The 17730-nt window shown below is 44.5% G+C and overlaps 1 protein-coding gene across 3 annotated transcripts in view; it reads left to right on the top strand.

The window, feature by feature from the left end:
• DGKG (diacylglycerol kinase gamma) overlaps positions 1-17730 on the top strand; it is a 215034-nt gene that overhangs the window by 62648 nt on the left and 134656 nt on the right. For all 3 annotated transcript variants that reach the window (NM_001080745.2, NM_001080744.2, NM_001346.3), the window contains exons 4-7: positions 1358-1523; positions 2104-2166; positions 10707-10877; positions 14878-14927. In NM_001080745.2, the coding sequence (NP_001074214.1) occupies positions 1358-1523; positions 2104-2166; positions 10707-10877; positions 14878-14927 (450 nt within the window). The remainder of the gene's footprint in view (positions 1-1357; positions 1524-2103; positions 2167-10706; positions 10878-14877; positions 14928-17730) is intronic.

Genomic DNA, 17730 nt, shown 5'->3' with positions numbered 1-17730 from the left:
AGATGGGTAGCTGTCACAAGAAATGTGAGTCCACCATTTGCTTGGAGTTCCCCTAATCTGGTAAGAGCCTCTGTCCAGCTGAATCAGACTTCCTTCACTCTGCAAAGGAGACGGATAGAACAGCCAAGCCTGGTGCTAAACAGAAATTTATTTGTGAGCCCCTCAGTGGGGTGGGGAGGCCATTACTCGCTTTTAAGGCCAAGATTTTGAACTCAAACTTGTTTATACACATGTAAGCCAGTCTCTGGTTCTGGGACGTCTCCCAGATCTCCCAGAACAGACAAGGGGTTAAATGCTACCAACATTTTGATGGGTACATCAAGTAGGCTCCTGCAAAGGGATTTTATTCTCATGGCTGCTATTATTCACAAAAGCCTGCACAGCAGATCTCAGAGTAGTGCTTCCTCAAATGATTTCCAGGAGCATCTGCCGATTTGATGAAGAATCTGATGCCATCAAAGCACAAGCCAGTGATGACTCACTGCAAACTGTTGTTGTTGAGTGTTTGCTGAGTGCAGCAGCCCTTTCTGGCATAGCTGCTCCCAGCCTGGGACCAGAAGCCAGGCGGTACTGGGAGAGACACAGCAGGAAGAGGGTCTAGTTTTTGGCACATCTCTTGGTTCTACCTTCTGTCCTTGGCTTCCTGCTCTTCTCCTGGTGCCTAAAACCTTCACAAGGACATGTTTTGAGAAGCAGCTGAGCCAGAAACACACACCCACCCTTGTTATTTGAGGGTTTTTCCAGGGAAGATCAGGACTATGAAAGTCATGAAGGATGGAGCCTGTTCTTTTCTCTTCCAGGTCTTTCCTACTTTCTGAGACCTGAATACTCAGGCATCACATCCGTCATGGTACAAGAGGGAAACCAAGATACCACAGAAGAACTATTTCTTTGCATCATATTTTCAACTGCATCCTTCTTCATCTTAACTAGGATTCTAGGGCACAGATCTTGTCCCTGCTCATTAGAGCCACATCCCTCACACAGGCCTGGACTAAGGCAGAGCCCTGCACTTTGGCCTCCACTCCCAAGGCTCACTCTCCAACATGTCCCTTTTTATCTAAATTTACATAATATCATTTCTTATTACAGGAGCCTGCCCTGGTTCTGTGCCCCACCAAGCCCCAATATGCAACTGCAACATTTTCTCTCTCTTACACCCATCCCCTGCACCCTGTGCCTCTCATTGTCTATCACTTCCCTGGCCTTTTCATTCCTGTCCCCATCAGCTCCTCCATGTCCTACTGCCTCCCTTTCCATTCCTTTCACCTGCCAGCTTTTCTATTCCTTTTCCTTCTCTCTTCCTCTCTGTCCCTTTGCTTCTCTCCACTGACTTTGCCCTTTTGCCCCTTCTCAGCCGATTAGCTATGATGTCTTCAAGCTGTTCATGAGGGCGTACCTGGAGGTGGACCTTCCCCAGCCACTGAGCACTCACCTCTTCCTGGCCTTCAGCCAGAAGCCCAGACACGAGACCTCTGACCACCCGACGGAGGGAGCCAGCAACAGTGAGGCCAACAGCGCAGGTACACAGAGCTTTCCCCAAGATGGGAAGACCTTGCGCAGCTCTCATCCCCTGCCACAGCCACAGACTGCATTCCTAGAGGGTCCCCTGAACATAGTAACTGCCCCAACGGTGCGAACATGAACCAAGGGACAGGGACGCCTTTCCTCATAGTGCCTTACGGGAAGCCCTGATGAACCTCTCAGCAAGAGGAATAAACAGGAGGCATAATTCCTGCCACTATGGATCAAAGAGCAGGATGGGGAAAGAGGAGACACAAAATAATGTATGGTGGGGGAAGAGAGCCTTCAGCAAAGGCTGACGGTCCACGGATGGAGCACATTCAGCTTCTGTGTCCAGGCTGGGACTAGCTTGGAAGTGTTAGAGGAGAGGGAAGCCATGATCCCTGTCTTCCTGGAGCTTGGGCTATAATGGGGGAGACACAGCCAATCCCAATAAGCGAGCATGAACCCAGCTGACACATAACCCCGAGACACAGACACAATCAAGGCAAACCAGGTCCCATGGGGATGTCCTGTACCTGCCCTTCCAAGAAGCTAGAGGGCCTGGGTTGGTCTTTAAATCTTCTTTTTTTTCCTCAGATACTAATATACAGAATGCAGATAATGCCACCAAAGCAGACGAGGCCTGTGCCCCTGATACTGGTAAGTCTTTGGAATATAAGACTTGTGGGAAAAGTAGGGAATACCTCATCCTTGGGGAGAAGTGGGGAAACCTAACCAACAGTGCTGTCTTCATATAATTGTGCAATCTTATGCAGATCTGGTCCTCCTGTGGCCTTCAGAACCTCCATCTCTGGGGCTCCTGTCATTTGAATGTTCTGGGATTCTGAGGCTGGGTAAAGGTTTTTGCTTCACTTGCCCTAGAACAGAGCAGGTCAGGACTTGGGACAGCTTGCTAGATGTTTATCTCTGATATGTCTGCCTGCCCAGAAAAAGTGGAGAGCCTTCTCAGGGGAAGTGTGTGTGTGTGTGTGTGTGTGTGTGTGTGTGTGTGAGAGAGACAGACAGACAGACAGAGAGAGGTGGCTGTGGCTGTAAGGCTGAGGTGCAGATGACTCTACCAGTGGATGTCTGGAGAGGAACAGAGCAAGAGGGTAAAAATGTGCCCTTGTTGACTTCCAACAACATATATACACTATTTTGAATAAGTTGAGGAGTTGCTAATAAGTTAGCAAAGGAAGCCAGCTCAAATGGTCTTGAAGATATATTTGCCAGGCATCTGCTCATTACACATTTCATCTAAGCTTCACAATCACACCACTTTACACATGAGAAACTGAGGCCTTAAGAGATTATATACCACTGGTGTGACCTGTGGAGCCAGGGATTCAATCCAGAATCATCCAACCTCAAAACTCCTGCAGTCTTTCCTATAGAGAGAGAGGACACAGTGGTCCTGGTGGTGTGGTTGGTTCCTGTGGAATGAGCAAGGCTGCACTCTCAGCGGAGCTGCTGTAGTGGTGCCTGCTGCCCATAGGCCCACTGTTGGGCTGTGAGAGATGTGGAATCTTCCCTGACACATTTATCAATGGGAAGCCATTCCTCTCTGCTGTTGGCTGGCCAGCCCAAGGCCAGAAGCTCCTACAAAAATGAGAGGTGAAGGTTACCATACTTAATTTCTGTTCTCATATTCAATACAAATGTCCTGAGTACTATCAACTCAAGTTGGATCAGGCAACAGAGCATGTTGCTTAAGGAGCCAGGATGCCTGGGTTTGATTCCCAGAGCCAACACTACCTAGCTCTGTAACCGTGGGCATGTTTGAACAACGTCTCTGTGCCTCAGTGTCCCTAAGTGAGATAACAAATGTTCTTATGAAGGTTAAGTGAGTTAGATATGTTAACGCTTAGAACAGTGCCTGGCACACAGTAAATGTTTGATAAATATTAGCATTTATTATTCAGGCCACCTTCCAGAAGTATACTTTATTCTTTTCTTTTTTTTTTTTTTGTCTGAGATAAGGTCTTGCTCTGTCCCCCAGGCTGGAGTGCAGTGGTACAATCTCAGCCTACTGCAGCCTCGAGCTCCCAGGTTCAAGCTATTCTTGTGCGTCAGCCTCCTGAGTAGCTGGGATTACAAGAGTGTGCTGCCACGCCTGGCTAATTTTTGTACTTTTTTAGTACAGACAGGGTTTTGCCATCTTGGCCAGGCTGGTCTCGAACTCCTGACCTCAAGTGATCCACCCAAAAGCGCTGGGATTACAGGCATGAGCCACCACACCCAGCACAGAAGTATACTCTATTCTTAACTCAGTATGGTCTGCCATTATCTCCTTCAGCCTGCAACCTCAGTCTCCAAGTGTGTCACCTGGGCATCCTCTTCCCATGAAAGGTCTCTCATGGGCTTTCTTTCTCCCAGGTTGTTCCTGAAGCTTTCAATACAAAGACTCAGAGAGTCAGACCTTTTTTTTTTTTTTTTTTTTTTACTGTGCATTATCATTTTATTGAAAAGCTTTATGGATATCCAAAGGTGAATTCCAGCTCTTAGGATATGCCCAGGGGAAAAAGAATGCAGTATTATTATTATTATTATTACTATTATTATTATTATTATTATTATTTTGAGACGGAGTCTCGCTCTGTCACCAGGCTGAAGTGCAGTGGCACAATCTCAGCTCCCTGAGACCTCCGCCTCCCTGGTTCAAGTGATTCTTGAGCCTCAGTCTCTCGAGTAGCTGGGACTACAGGCACGTGCCACCACACCCGGCTAATTCTTGGTATTTTTAGTAGAAACAGGCTTTCACCATGTTGGCCAGGATGATCTCGATCTCCTGACCTCGTGATCTGCCCACCTCGGCCTCCCAAAGTGCTGGGATTATAGGCGTGAGCCACCCCGCCCAGCCTATATTTTAAATGTATATAAAACAAGATAGATTAGAGGTACTACAGCTGAAGGAGAAGGGGAACTAATTGCAACAGGGACCTTGAAGAGAGAGTTTCTTCAATGTAGTTCTAATCTTTTCTCCTGTCACAGCAAAAAGAGAAACTGGAAGGATTATCGAGTTTTCAGTGTTTAACTGAGGACTGGTGAGATAAACAGGTCATGATAGATGGAAAGCAGAGCATGGTTGGGGAAAAACAGTTACCCCTGGATCATAAGCTCAGCAAACTCCATGCACAGAGCACCAGAAAGCAAGGATGAGGAGCAGCTGTGCCTTCCCGAAGGCTTCAGGGACAGCAGCAGGCCAAGACTCCACAAAATTGCTGGCTCGTCCATGCCCTGCCCAGCACGCCACTCAGCCATGCTAGTCCATAGCCCCTTGGTGAAATGGACGTAAGGCACAGATAACTCTTATATCTTCTATGGACTAGAGGAGGCATATTCAGGCATCTGTGTAAGGCACAGATAACTCTTATATCTTCTATGGACTAGAGGAGGCATATTCAGGCATAGATCATTCTCATACTAGGGAGGAAAGTGTGAAACTAGGAGCTCTGAGATTTTAAACTCCCAGCAAGAAACTCAGTGGTAAAAAGCATCCTGCCCCAAATTATTTACCTAGAGACTTTTTTTTTTTTTTTTTTTTGAGACAGAGTTTCACTCTTGTTGCCCAGGCTGGAGTGCAATGGTGCAATCTCAGCTCACCACAACCTCTGCCTCCCGAGTTCAAGCAATTCTCCTGTCTCAGCCTCCTGAGTAGCTGGGATTACAGGTGCATGCCATCATGGCCAGGCTAATTTTTCTTTTTTTGTAGAGACAGGGTTTATTTTATCTGGAACTTCAAGAGGAACCTAGAAGAAGATACAATTCATTCACTGAGGTTCCAAATTGTCTGAGCAGGTTGTGTTTTAGTGGCTAATGTTTCTGAGGTACCAAGGAAGAACTTATTGGGGATATGTCATTTTATGTGATATTTGAGAAAAGATGATCAATGATGATAACGGAAATTAGCTGACTTATTTAAGACCTCCATGCGTATTTGCAATAGTTGTATCATTCTGGGACTAAAAGAGAAACTTCCAGAGATTTCCTCCTGGAGAAGTGATTTTGTCATGTACCATTTTCCTTGTGTATGGGAAAAATCAGCCCCCTATAGTAAAATCATGAAAGGGCAATTATCTGACTCTTGGCCCAAGGAGGTATACAGCATTTTTTTATCTTCTTTTGACACTTGAGATTTAAGGGAAAAAAACCTTTTCCTGGTAGGCCCTCTTCCACAGATGTCTTAATTAGATGTCCCTGTTCACCAGAAACAAGAATTATAGGACCAGGCAGTCACCACAGAGAGGGGCCTCTGCCGGCAAGGAAGAGCCAAGCCCTGGACTCACCTTCAATCAGGCCATCTGCTGAAAAGACCAGCCTTTTCCTGTTGCCCAGGTGGAAGCCAGGGAAAGAGCTTAGATTCTTATTTCATGTGGCCTGTCTAGGCCTATCAGATCAGTCTCCAAGCTCAGATCTAGCAAAGCCCACTTCATTCCCAGAGCCATAAAGACAGAAGAGCAGGGCTTTCAGGGTCCAGACTTCGGCTCGGAGGCCTGAGCAATCTATCACTGTCAGAGTGTCAGCTCAGGAAAGGCTGAGCCCACCTTTCCCTTCATGAAGGCCCAGGACTAACTGGGATGAACAAGGAGAACTTCAGTGTCCTGGTGTTTCGTTAGTTTCTCAGGCTGTCGAGATGTTTCAGCGACTTGGAATATTGAAATCTCAAGGAAAGTCCCCCAGTATTTTGTGTTAGTTTTTCCAAATTATAAAAGTAATACACTCACATTGTAAGAAATTTGAAGGACACAAAAAAATAAAGAAACAACAAAGATCAGTGGTGTCAAGGGTCAGGGGAAGGGAAGGATGAATAGGCAAAGCACCGAGGATTTTTAGGGCAGCGAAACTACTCTGTATACTATAATGGTGAATGCATGTCATTGTACATTTGCCCAAACCCACAGAATGTAGAACACCAAGAGTGAACCCTAATGCAAATTATAGACTTCAGGAGATAATGATGTGTTGATGTATTCATCAGCTGTAACAAATGTACCACTCTGGTGGGGGAGTGAGGCATGGTAGGTTATGCATGTGTAGGGAAGCAGGGTGTGTGAAAAACCTCTGGACCCTCTTCTAGTTTTACTCTGAATTTTACAGTGCTCTAAAAAATGTGTTTTTAAAAAAGCACAATAAAATCATCCATAATTTTACCAATGCAATTACATGTGTGTGTGTGTAATCTCCTTGTAGATTTTTCTATAATTTTTTTACAGAATTGGGATCAGACTGTATTGTATAGATAATCTGGGACCGAGTTTCTTCTTTTTTTTTTTGAGATGGAGTCTCGCTCTGTTGCCCAGGCTGGAGTGCAGTGGCACGATCGCAGTTCACTGCAACCTCTGCCTCCCGACCTCTGCCTCCCGCGTTCAAGTGATTCTCCTGCCTCAGCCTCCTGGGTAGCTGGGATTACAGGCACCCGCCACCACGCCCAGCTAATTTTTGTATTTTTAGTAGAGACAGTGTTTCACCATGTTGGCCAGGCTGGTCTCCAACTCCTGACCTCAGGTGATCCACCCACCTCGGCCTCCCAAAGTGCTGGGATTACAGGTATGAGCCACCGTGCCCGGCCTTGGGACCCAGTTTTGTTCTTCACTTAGTTAAGTCATTTACTTGAATGATTTCTGTAATTCAAGACTTTGGGTAAACATCAGTTTTAATGCAATCCCCTCTTTAAACAGATGAGAAAACTGAGGTTGAGTGTGGTGGAGTAAGCCTGCTTGTGTTAAATCACACACACATACTTTGTGTGTTAAATCACACACAACTGAACACAAACTCAGCGGTGGAATCACGGTCTTCTGCTGCCTGGTCTGGTGCTCTTCCCACTATGCCACACTGCCCCACTGAAAGGGAACAAGTAACACAGATACCAAGGGAGAAAGTGGAACAAGTCAGGTCTGCCCAAGAGCCGTCACATGAAAGGGTTTAGGACATGGCACCAGGACAGGACCTCTGTGATCCGGAAGAGGGTGTTGGCATTTTTTACTGGTGGTACCTGAGGGTCGTACTCAGATGGCCATAGGTCAGGGCTATTTCATATAAAGCAGAATGAAGAGGAAGGACACTAATGAGACAGTGTCAGTGCCTCTCAGCCTTCCTGGACCCCTGCATCTCTATGACAGGAGTGAGCAGTAGACTTCAGTGAAAACTAGAGAAATGGTTCAAGATCCAAGGATTGAGTTGTAAATTGGCAAAAAATTGCATGTTTTAAGTGTATAATTAATAAGTTTTGACACACGTATATACCTGTAAAACTAGTACCACAATTAATATGATGAACATACCCATCATCTCTAAAAGTTTTCTTTGTAATCCCTTTTCTCCACCCTCCTTACCCGCCCACCCTTCATCCCCATACAACTACTGATCTGCTTTCTGCCATATATATTAAATTACATTGTCTAGATTTTATATAAATGTTATCATACACTCTCTACTCTTTTGGGTCTGCCTTTTTTCACTCCATGTAATAATTTTGAGATTTATCCATTTTGTATATATCAATAGTTCACATATTTTAGTTGCTGATTAGTGTTTTAATACATAGATATTCCACAATTTGTTCGTCTGTTAACCTACTGATGGACATCTAGATTGCTTCCAATTTATAATTATCATAAATAAAAATGTTATAAATATTCTTGTGCTTTAATGATGTTGAGTATCTTTTCATGTACTTAATTGTTTATTTGGTCTTATTTAATTTCTTTTTACATATTATGAGCCTCAATTTGCTAAAATATTAAGAACGTTTGCCTCTGTGTTCATAAGGGATATTGATTTGCATGTTCATGTCTTATCATGTCATTGTCTGTTTTTGGCTTTAGAGTAATGCTGGCCTCACCAAAAGGGTTGCGTAGGATTCCCTCCTCTTAAATTTTCTGGAAGAATTTGTATAGAATTTATGGTGCCTCTTCACTAAATGTTGAGTACTGGATTTTCACATTCCTACAAAGTCCTGAGCTTTGTTTTTAGGTACAGTTAGGTTACTTGGAAACAGTCTGATCTTTTTGGATCTATCTTTTAAGCTTCACTGGACAGGACCAGAAAGGCATTTACTCACTACTGAGAAAAAATGTTTCTGAATACTCTATCAATGATTCACGAATTATGGGGGGTTTCTACCCTGGTTGGTGGGAATAGGCATTACTCCTGGTTCTCTCCAGGGATTATTCGCTCTAATCCTAGTTCTTTCCCCAGCCTTAGCCTTAGGTGTTTTCCTTCCACAAGTGTGCTAATTACTACTCAGCTGAATAATTGAAGGGAACTCTCTGCTGTTACTCAAAGGGGACCTTCTACACACATTCAGAGCTAGCTCTCTGTGCATACCCTCCTCTCCAGTGCCTGCTCTGTGAATCCTAGCCACTGTGGGCTCCAGATTCCAGCTTCACCTCCACTCAGAGAGACTTCCAGGGTTGGCCTGGCTTCCCCTTCTCTGTGCTGCGGCCTAGAAGCTCTTTCCAAACAGTCTGATGTGGCAGTTGTAGGAGTCATCTCATCTTCTCAGAGATCAGTGTTTGGTCCTCCCTGATAATATAATGTCCTATGAACCATTGTTTCATACATTTTGTCCAGTTTTGTCACTGTTTTAGGTGAGAGGGTAAATCTGGTCTCTGTTAGCCCATTTTAGTCAAGGTAGAAGTCACTGATAGAGTTTTAATTGATGAATAATATGAGGACCTAGCAATAACTTTGGGTGTAATGCACTACACAGTACAAAGGCCTGTTCCCATGTTTTCCTCCAGTGACAATCTTAATACTTCATTAAATATGTAATTTTATTACAACCTCCCCTATCTCACTATCCCTGTCTTTATCTCATCCTATTGTATTTTCATCTCTACTTGCCAAACCCTGAGGCTTTCTGCTTTTGTATAATAGAGGTGATATCTTCTTGCATCCCGCTAAGGGCCTTGTCCAGTAGAAAATTACTTTTGAAAATCTGGTCTTCTGAGACCTCAGGATGAAGCTTTCTTTCCTTACTTTGCAGCCACGTTTCCTAGGCTCCATCTTGGTTTCTTCATGAGGCCCTCTGTAATATACAAATTGTGTCAGTGACCTTTGGTTTCTCCTATTGTCCATCTGGATGATGGTTAACTCCCTCCTCAGACCCACAACTGAATCCCTGGAACCTGGAAGGCTTTCATCTAGCACAGCCCTGCTTGCCTAAAATGGAATATTCACTCCCATTGCTTGGTTATTTGTTTCTCCGAATGAAGAGTGTACAGGTAACATTGCCTTCCTCAACAGACATTACGATCAAGGCTGTCTCTCCCACTGCCTCTACCTTCAGTACTTTGTTACTTGGTGGTATAATATAACAACACCTAAAACATTGGATTTTCCACTGTCCATCTTCCCTTTGTTCCCTGGCTAGTTGTTTTCTGTGAGTTGTACACTCCTAGTAGATATTAAGAGATCATTTCTGATGAGCATGGAGGTAGAGACGGAAGACAGCACTCAAAGTGTCTCAAAAAATAGAATTCACACAGGAAAACAGGGGTGCCCAGTTTTCTTGTTAGTAATAGAGCTTATATTTCTGAACCACAGGACAGAGTGTGGAAGAGACAAAGTGTTTTCCTACCTTAGAAAGGAGAAATTTTAAAGGGAAAACTTACCCCATTCTTGTGGTACAATAATCCACTTTCTGCATTTTCTTCATCCAAATTAGACTTGCAGTTAGTTTGAGTTCTTCCTAGTTTCTGGAGATTCGTTAATTATCAATCCCGGTTTTCTCTTTTGAATATTCATCCTTTATGTGTCTTTAAATGTGTTTGAAAAGAAAATTGCAAGGTCTATTGAGAAATGACTGTTGGCCATTTACCATTTTGAAATCCCAGCCAAAATTACTTCTATAAGTTGGGTATGTTCCCAAAAAAGTAGGCCAAATGACATTTACCTGTTGATTATTGATATTACCAATAATCACTATCATCTTTTCTGAATATTCAGAGTATAGATGAATTTCCTGCAAGGAAATAGACTCTTAAAGGGGTCAGCATGGGATCCCTTCAGAGAATATGAACTCCACAAGTTGGATTTCTAGGGCCACTAATTTGGTCACATCTATGTAACCAAAGCTTTTGAAGACACTTCTACAAAATTCTTGCCTCTACCATGAAAAGGATGGGGTAACAAAGAGGGGTTAATATTTACTAAACAGAAAATGTCCTTGGATGTTTTCCTTTTGTTCATCGCAGAATCAAATATGGCTGAGAAGCAAGCACCAGCTGAAGACCAAGTGGCTGCGACCCCCCTGGAACCCCCCGTCCCTCGGTCTTCAAGCTCGGAATCCCCAGTGGTATACCTGAAGGATGTTGTGTGCTACCTGTCCCTGCTGGAGACGGGGAGGCCTCAGGATAAGCTGGAGTGTAAGTGCTCACCCTGTCAAGGGGCTTCAGCTTTTTCCTAGAGAAGGATCTGGGGTTCTATCCATTATTCCTAAACACACTGGAGATTGAGTTGATATCACGGATATGCGTCCCGCCTCTTTGGGGAGGTTTCTTTGTCCTGTTACCAAAAGTGATATGAACAACTCCTAGAATCCACCCTGGGACATATTGCCAGTTGTGTATCACATGGGAAGGGCATCTGAAACCCAGGTATTGAGAACCAGAATCTGGAAAGGGAAGGGGTCCCATCAAGTGGTCAAGACTTCCTTGCTTTGCTGGCAGGACTTCCTGAAAGCCTTTACTCAGAAAACTGCTACCTCCTCTTAATAGATTTTTTAAAGAAAGATATTCAACATCTGTCCTCCTTCCCCTATTCTGTGCCCAGGCAACTCTTTAACTATGAGGAAATATTCTTTTCTTGAGATCTCATCAACCTCTGTCTTGATAAGCCTTTGTCCATTTCTCTACCTATGCCCCCCCGCCACCCCAAGATTCTTGGCCTCTAGAGAACGAGGGGGCCAGTTAATTAAAGGAGTTGAGCTCAGTTTCGTGGTGCTACTAAAGTAGGTTTTAAAAACATGTCTTCAGGAGGAGAGTAAGAGCTGGGAGCAGAAAGTTCACAGTGGCTGAAACAGCCTGCAGTCTTGTAGATGATTCAGTCCAGTGATGGTTTCCCTGGCTTCTGTGAGCCTACAGACATACTTCTAAAAAAATAGGAGATGACAGGACCTTGTTAAAAAATCTGTATTGTCTTTGCTTCTCTTGGGAACTTAAGTAGACAGTAAGGGGAAAAAAATGTACATGTTACAGCCAAAGTCAAAATTCCAGTTAATAATAAGACTAGTCAACAAAACTTAAACATAAGCAAGGGAAGTCTGCCAAAGGCTAATTCTTGCCAAAAACAAAATGAAACAGTTTGCTCATTAGCTGAGCTTAAAATCTCTCCCATAGGTTTGAAGTGTTAACAATTGCAAGTCTTAAGTGCTAATTTGGTGGCAAATGTAGCAGATTTCTGTTTTCTTCTAGCTAATGTTAAAAGTGAAACATCAAATTATTTCCAGCATTTAGCTGGATTTTGAGTTTCAGGCATTGTATTTGTTAGTGACTACCAAAGAGAAGGTGACAGATTTTTTTATATTAATGACTCTCCAACTGAGTCTTATAATGACCATGCAAAGAAATGTTAAAACTTTTTATTACAGAAAATTTCAAAGATAAAAGTAGAGAGTACAGTGAACATCTGTGGCCCCATCATCCAGTTTCAACAATTATCAACTCATGGTCAATCTTGTTGTGTTTATACTTCCCACCATTCCCTCTGCCTCAGAGTATCTTGAAGCAAATTCCAGGCATCATATAATCTGTAAATATTTCAGTATGTACCTCTAAAATCGCAGACTCTTCTTCTTAAATATAACCTCAATACCATCATTACAGCTAAAGAAAATGATTCCTTTTGCTATTATCAAATAGTCAGTATTCACATTTTTCCAATTATCCTAGATATTTTTAATTGTTTGTTTGAATCAGGATCCGAGTAAAATTCATACATCACCACTGGTTATTATGTCTCTTTACTCTCTTTTAATCTTTTGGATCCCTCTCCATCTTTTGCTAATTTTTTCCTTTATTTATTTATTTATTTATTTATTTTGAGATGGAGTTTTGCTCTTGTTGCCCAAGCTAGAGTGCAGTGGCGTGATCTCTGCTCACTGCAACCTCCACCTCCCAGGTTCAAGTGATTCTTCTGCCTCAGTCTCCCAAGTAGCTGGGATTACAGGTGCCCGCCGCTACGCCCAGCTACTTTTTGTATTTTTGGTAGATACGGAGTCTCACCATGTTGGCCAGGCTGGTCTCGAACTTCTGACCTCAGGTGATCCGCCCGCCTTGGCCTCCCAAATTGCTGGGATTACAGGTGTGAGCCATGGCACCCGGCCTGCAATTTTTTGTTACAGAAACTTGGTCATATAGAGTTTTCATTTTGGTTTGCTTTTTATTAAACCATATCAATTTATATCCTTCCTTAACTTTAAGGACTGAAAACAAATTAAACTTTTCTTTTTAAAAACCAAACATGTATTTTTTGGGAATAATAGCCTGAAATCCCACACCTATTGCCAATGCAATAATAACAACTATCATTGATAAACACCTTCTATTTGCTAAGTACTTTGAATGCATTCTCATTTTAACCTCATTGTAACCTAGAAGGAAGGCACAAGAAGGTTAAAAGACTTGCCCAAGGTTACACTGCTAAAATAAGGATGCTTACTCAGGCCTTTCTAGTTCTATTGTTCATGCACAATAGGACCAGAGAGAGGTCAGCGTTGGAGAGTCGCCTAGGCCCAGAGTCCTGGAATAATGCTAGCAGAAAAGGTCTGTCCTCTATGTCATTCAACCATCTGCTGGGTGAGTCAGCAGCATACGATGCATGCCTCTGACTGGGACCTTCTGAGGAATCACAAAGAATCGAAAGCCCATGACCCTACCTTTAAAGGACTTTGACTTTGACCAGCGATGCACCCCTGAAAAAAACACAAGGTGCAGAGACATTAAAACATCTAGGAGGAAATGATGACACAAGGACAACTTAGCAGAAATAAGGGGACCAGGCTGGTACGTGCCCCAAGTGGTTGCACCGCATCAGTCAACGGGTGCTCCGCAGAGAAAGCAGGCATGATGAAGGGTTTTAAACAATAGCAGGAAAGGCCGGGGAGCGCAGAGGCTCACGCCTGTAATCCCAGCACTTTGGCAGGCCGAGGCAGGCGGATCATCTGAGGTCGGGAGTTTGAGACCAGCCTGACCAAGATGGAGAAACCCCGTCTCTACTAAAAATAAAAAATTAGCCGGGTGTGGTGGTGCATGCCTGTAATCCCAGCGACTCAGGAGGGTGAGGCAGAAGAATCGCTTGAACCCGGGAGGCGGAGGTTGCAGTGAGCCAAGATGGCGCCATTGCACTCCAGCCTGGGCGACAAGAGTGAAACTCTGTCTCAAAAAAAAAAAAAAAAAGAAAGAAAGAAAGAATAGCAGGAAAATGAAGAAATGCTTATCTCTGCTTCCTGCCATGCTGACTTATGAGACCACAGACAGGATCTTTTCCTTTTGGTTGAGTAAAACATAGGTTTCCAGGTCCCATAAGTAAACATGTAGTCCCTTGTCCAGATTTTTCTCCCAGATCTTCCTTATCCTACATCACTTCCCAGCAGTTAGAACGTGATTGAAGATGTTTCTGAATAGCGTATTTCCGAATACCTTTAGAAAAAGGAAAAGATGGCTTCCGTAATAACTACCCCATAGCATTATTGAGGATTAAGCAATAATGAGAAAGTCTATAGGACAGTACCTTGTATATGTTAAATGCCATATATAAATGTTCATTTGAAAAGGAAAATAAAAATTAGTAACATCTGTTGAGTGCTTTCTATGTTCTAAGCCCAGTTGATTTGGCCTATCAGTTACACATTAATCTTCATAATAATCCTAGGAGAAACCAACTATTATTCTCTCCACTTTATAGATAAGGAAGCTGAGCTCAAAGAAGTTAAGTAACTTGTTGGGCACCCCCCAGAAGTGGCAGGGCAGTCCTAGGATTTAAATCTGCCTAACTCTACACTTTCTATGCTCAATAGAAGAAAAATTCTGGTGCCTCTGCCCCACCCCCAGCTGGGCATTTGCTTTAGGTTGTGTTCTAGTGACGCTGAAATGTGTTCATGCTCCCCAGGGAATTACACTCATGACCTGGACTTCATCAGCCACATAGGTATTGCTTAGACAGGTCCAGAAGCCAGGTGGTTCTCCTCCCTTGGCCCAGCCTCTCTGTAAGGAAGTCAGACTCTGTGCTCAGAGGGAGGGAGAGCTGGCTGCCATAACCTTCGTCACAGTGGTGACAGAACTAATCTAAAAACCTGGCAGCATCAAAACTTCAGCCATCCGCGCTTCTTAGAGGACACCTCAAGGCTTACCTCTGTGTTTCTTACAGTCATGTTTCGCCTCTATGATTCAGATGAGAACGGTCTCCTGGACCAAGCGGTAAGTTCTCACTCTAAATATCCCTCATGGACCTGAGAAAGGCTGGGGGAGCAGGGAGCAAGCAGAGGAAGAATCTGAAAATGTTCAGTTCCGTCTTTGTAGTAATAGCAATGTCTCGATGCAGGCTGAGGAAATCCGACTAGGACCTCTCCACCCGCTATTTCCAAAGGGCCGGCCTTGCAGAGCGTGAATGCCAACTTACCTTTTCGCTCTAGAAGCCTGGGATCATCAAATCTCAGGATGGAGGGATGCTTTAGCATGTCACCTAGTTTAACTTCCCATTCAGTTCACAAGCGCCTCCTGCAATTTCCTGCAGGAGTCCTGAGGCCAAGAGGAGAGGGCGGGGGAGGCAACAAGACCAAGGGAAAAGGGCACGAGGAAGGAGGCTGCTGGTTACTGTTGATGTGCAAGGAAGGAGGCTGCTGGTTACTGCTGATTTCAGAGGAAGGAGGCTGCTGGTCACTGCTGATGTGCTTTGCCGTCACCCTTGGCTGCCTCTCCTACTCCAGGGCACTAGCCTAGGAGTCTGGTTCTGTCTGCTCTAAGTACATGTTCCCATCCCATTGCACCTGAGAAAGCCTGAGACTCACCCTCACCCCTTCAGGAACAGGCAAGGATCGATCAAGGCTCGTGGAGTAAAAGGAAGAATGGAAAGAGAAGAAGGCAAACAGAGTCAGACAGGCCCTGTTGTCCTGACTGTCAATGTCAGAGATAGGGCTCATTAACAGGAAGGCCCTGAGGTTGAGATGCATGGGGCTGAGTCAGACCAGAGGAAGGAAGGAAGGGAAGAAGTCCACTAGACAAACTGAATCATCCCAATTCCCTCTAAACCCCAGGGTGCCTCTATGGGATCCCTCCAGCTACATTGCAATGCTGCGGGTTGGGTCATTTGAGGAAACATCCAGAGAATCACAGATTCTCAAGCATTTGGTCAACACATATTTACTGAGTATCTGCATTATGTCAGGCACTCTTCTAAGCACTGAGGGTATGGCAGTGTAGCCAACTGACAAAGTTCCATGCCCTCATGAAGCTTTCATTCTAGTCCAAGCACAGACACTAAGCAGCATAGTAAAAACATGTGTCAGGTAGGGATGGGTGCTGAGAAGAAAAATAAAGGAAAGGAAATGTTGGAAGAAGTTGAAGCTTTAGCGAGGGTCGCCGAGGAAGGCCTCTCTAGGAGGGGGCATCTGAACAGAGGCATGAAGAAGGTGAGGGAGTAATTCTAGGGGAAGAGCCTTCCAGGAGAAAGAACAGTGAGTGCGAGGGTCCTGAGGGTCCCTAGGATGTTAGAAGATTCACTCCGGGCCAGTGTGAATGGAGCAGAATGAGTAAACAGATGAGATCACAGTGAGGAAGTAATAGGGGATGAGATCAGAGAAGTCATGGGATGGGGGTAGGAGAGTGGGGAGTTTGCAAATCTTATTAAACGTTATAGGTGATTAATAGTGTTTATCTTTGGCCAGGCGAGTGACTCTTGCCTGTAACCCCAGCACTTTGGGAGGCGGGCAGATCACGAGGTCAGGAGTTCGAGCCCAGCCTGGCCAATATGGTGAAACCCCGTTTCTACTAAAAATACAAAAATTAGCCGGGCATGTTGGCACACACCTGTAGTCCCAGCTACTCAGGAGGCTGAGGCAGGAGAATTGCTTGAACCCTGGAGGTGGAGGTTGCAGTGAGCCAAGATCACGCCACTTACTCCAGCCTGGGCGACAGAGGGAGACTCCGTCTCAAAAAAATTAAAAAAAAAAAGTGTATCTTTTACTCCAGAGAAATGGAGAACCATTGACGATCTTGAGCAGAGGAGTGATGTGATTGACTTATGTTTTAACAGAATCACTGTACTCTGGGTGCAGTAGTTCAAGCCTATAATCCCAGTACTTTGGGAAGCTGAGGTGGGCGGATCACCAGAGGTCAGGAGTTTGAGACCAGCCTAGCCAACATGGCAAAACCCCGTCTCTACTAAAAATACAAAAGAAATTATCCGGGTGTGGTGGCGGGCGCCTGTAGTCCCAGCTACTCGGGAGGCTGAGATGGGAGAATCACTTGAACCCAGGAGGTGGAGGTTGCCATGAGCCGAGATGGCGCCACTGCACTCCAGCCTGGGTGACAGAGGGAATGCAAGCAGGGATACTGGTTAGGAGGCCGTTGAAATAATCAAGGCATGAAATGGTGTAGACTTGTACAGGGTAGAATCATTGCAGGTAGTAAGAAGTTGTTAAATTCCAGATACGTTTTAAAGGTAATATTGGAAGACTGAAGCAAATCTCAAAAGAGTTATCTGATTCAACCTTTCACCGGAATCCCTGTCATATGGACTCCTACCTTAAGACAGCCATTCCACTGCTGGGGGTGACTGCTGGAGAGGGCTTCCTTCTCGAACACAGGCACTCCTCTTTGTGGTGGGGAATCGTTTTCAACTCAAAACCTGCTTCTGCTCCCCTTCTCCCCCAATCCAACAGGGAGGCCAAAATAAGCCAGTCCTCAACTCCTTCCTTCCCTGCATCCCTCTCTGCTTCCTTCTGTCCCCCATACCTGGCCAGGACAAATGGAATACCTATCCCATACAATAGGCCTTCGAGTATTTGAAGGTGCTATCACATCTCCCCTAAAATCTTCTCCAAGCTAAAATTTCTCTATTCCTACACTGGTTCTCATAAGGCAGGCTTAAATATCCACTTTGGACAAGCTCTGGTTTGTAAATGCCATTCCTGGAATGTGGCACAGAACAGAATCCGTCCCCTATGATTCTTTAAGTATCCAAATGTGGCCTGACCAGGAAGACCTCAGGGGAACTTTTTCT

Source organism: Homo sapiens, chromosome 3 (assembly GCF_000001405.40).
Source record: "Homo sapiens chromosome 3, GRCh38.p14 Primary Assembly".
Lineage (NCBI taxonomy): Eukaryota > Metazoa > Chordata > Mammalia > Primates > Hominidae > Homo > Homo sapiens.
Note: the sequence above shows the minus strand (reverse complement) of the source record. Positions and strands in the feature narration are given on the sequence as shown.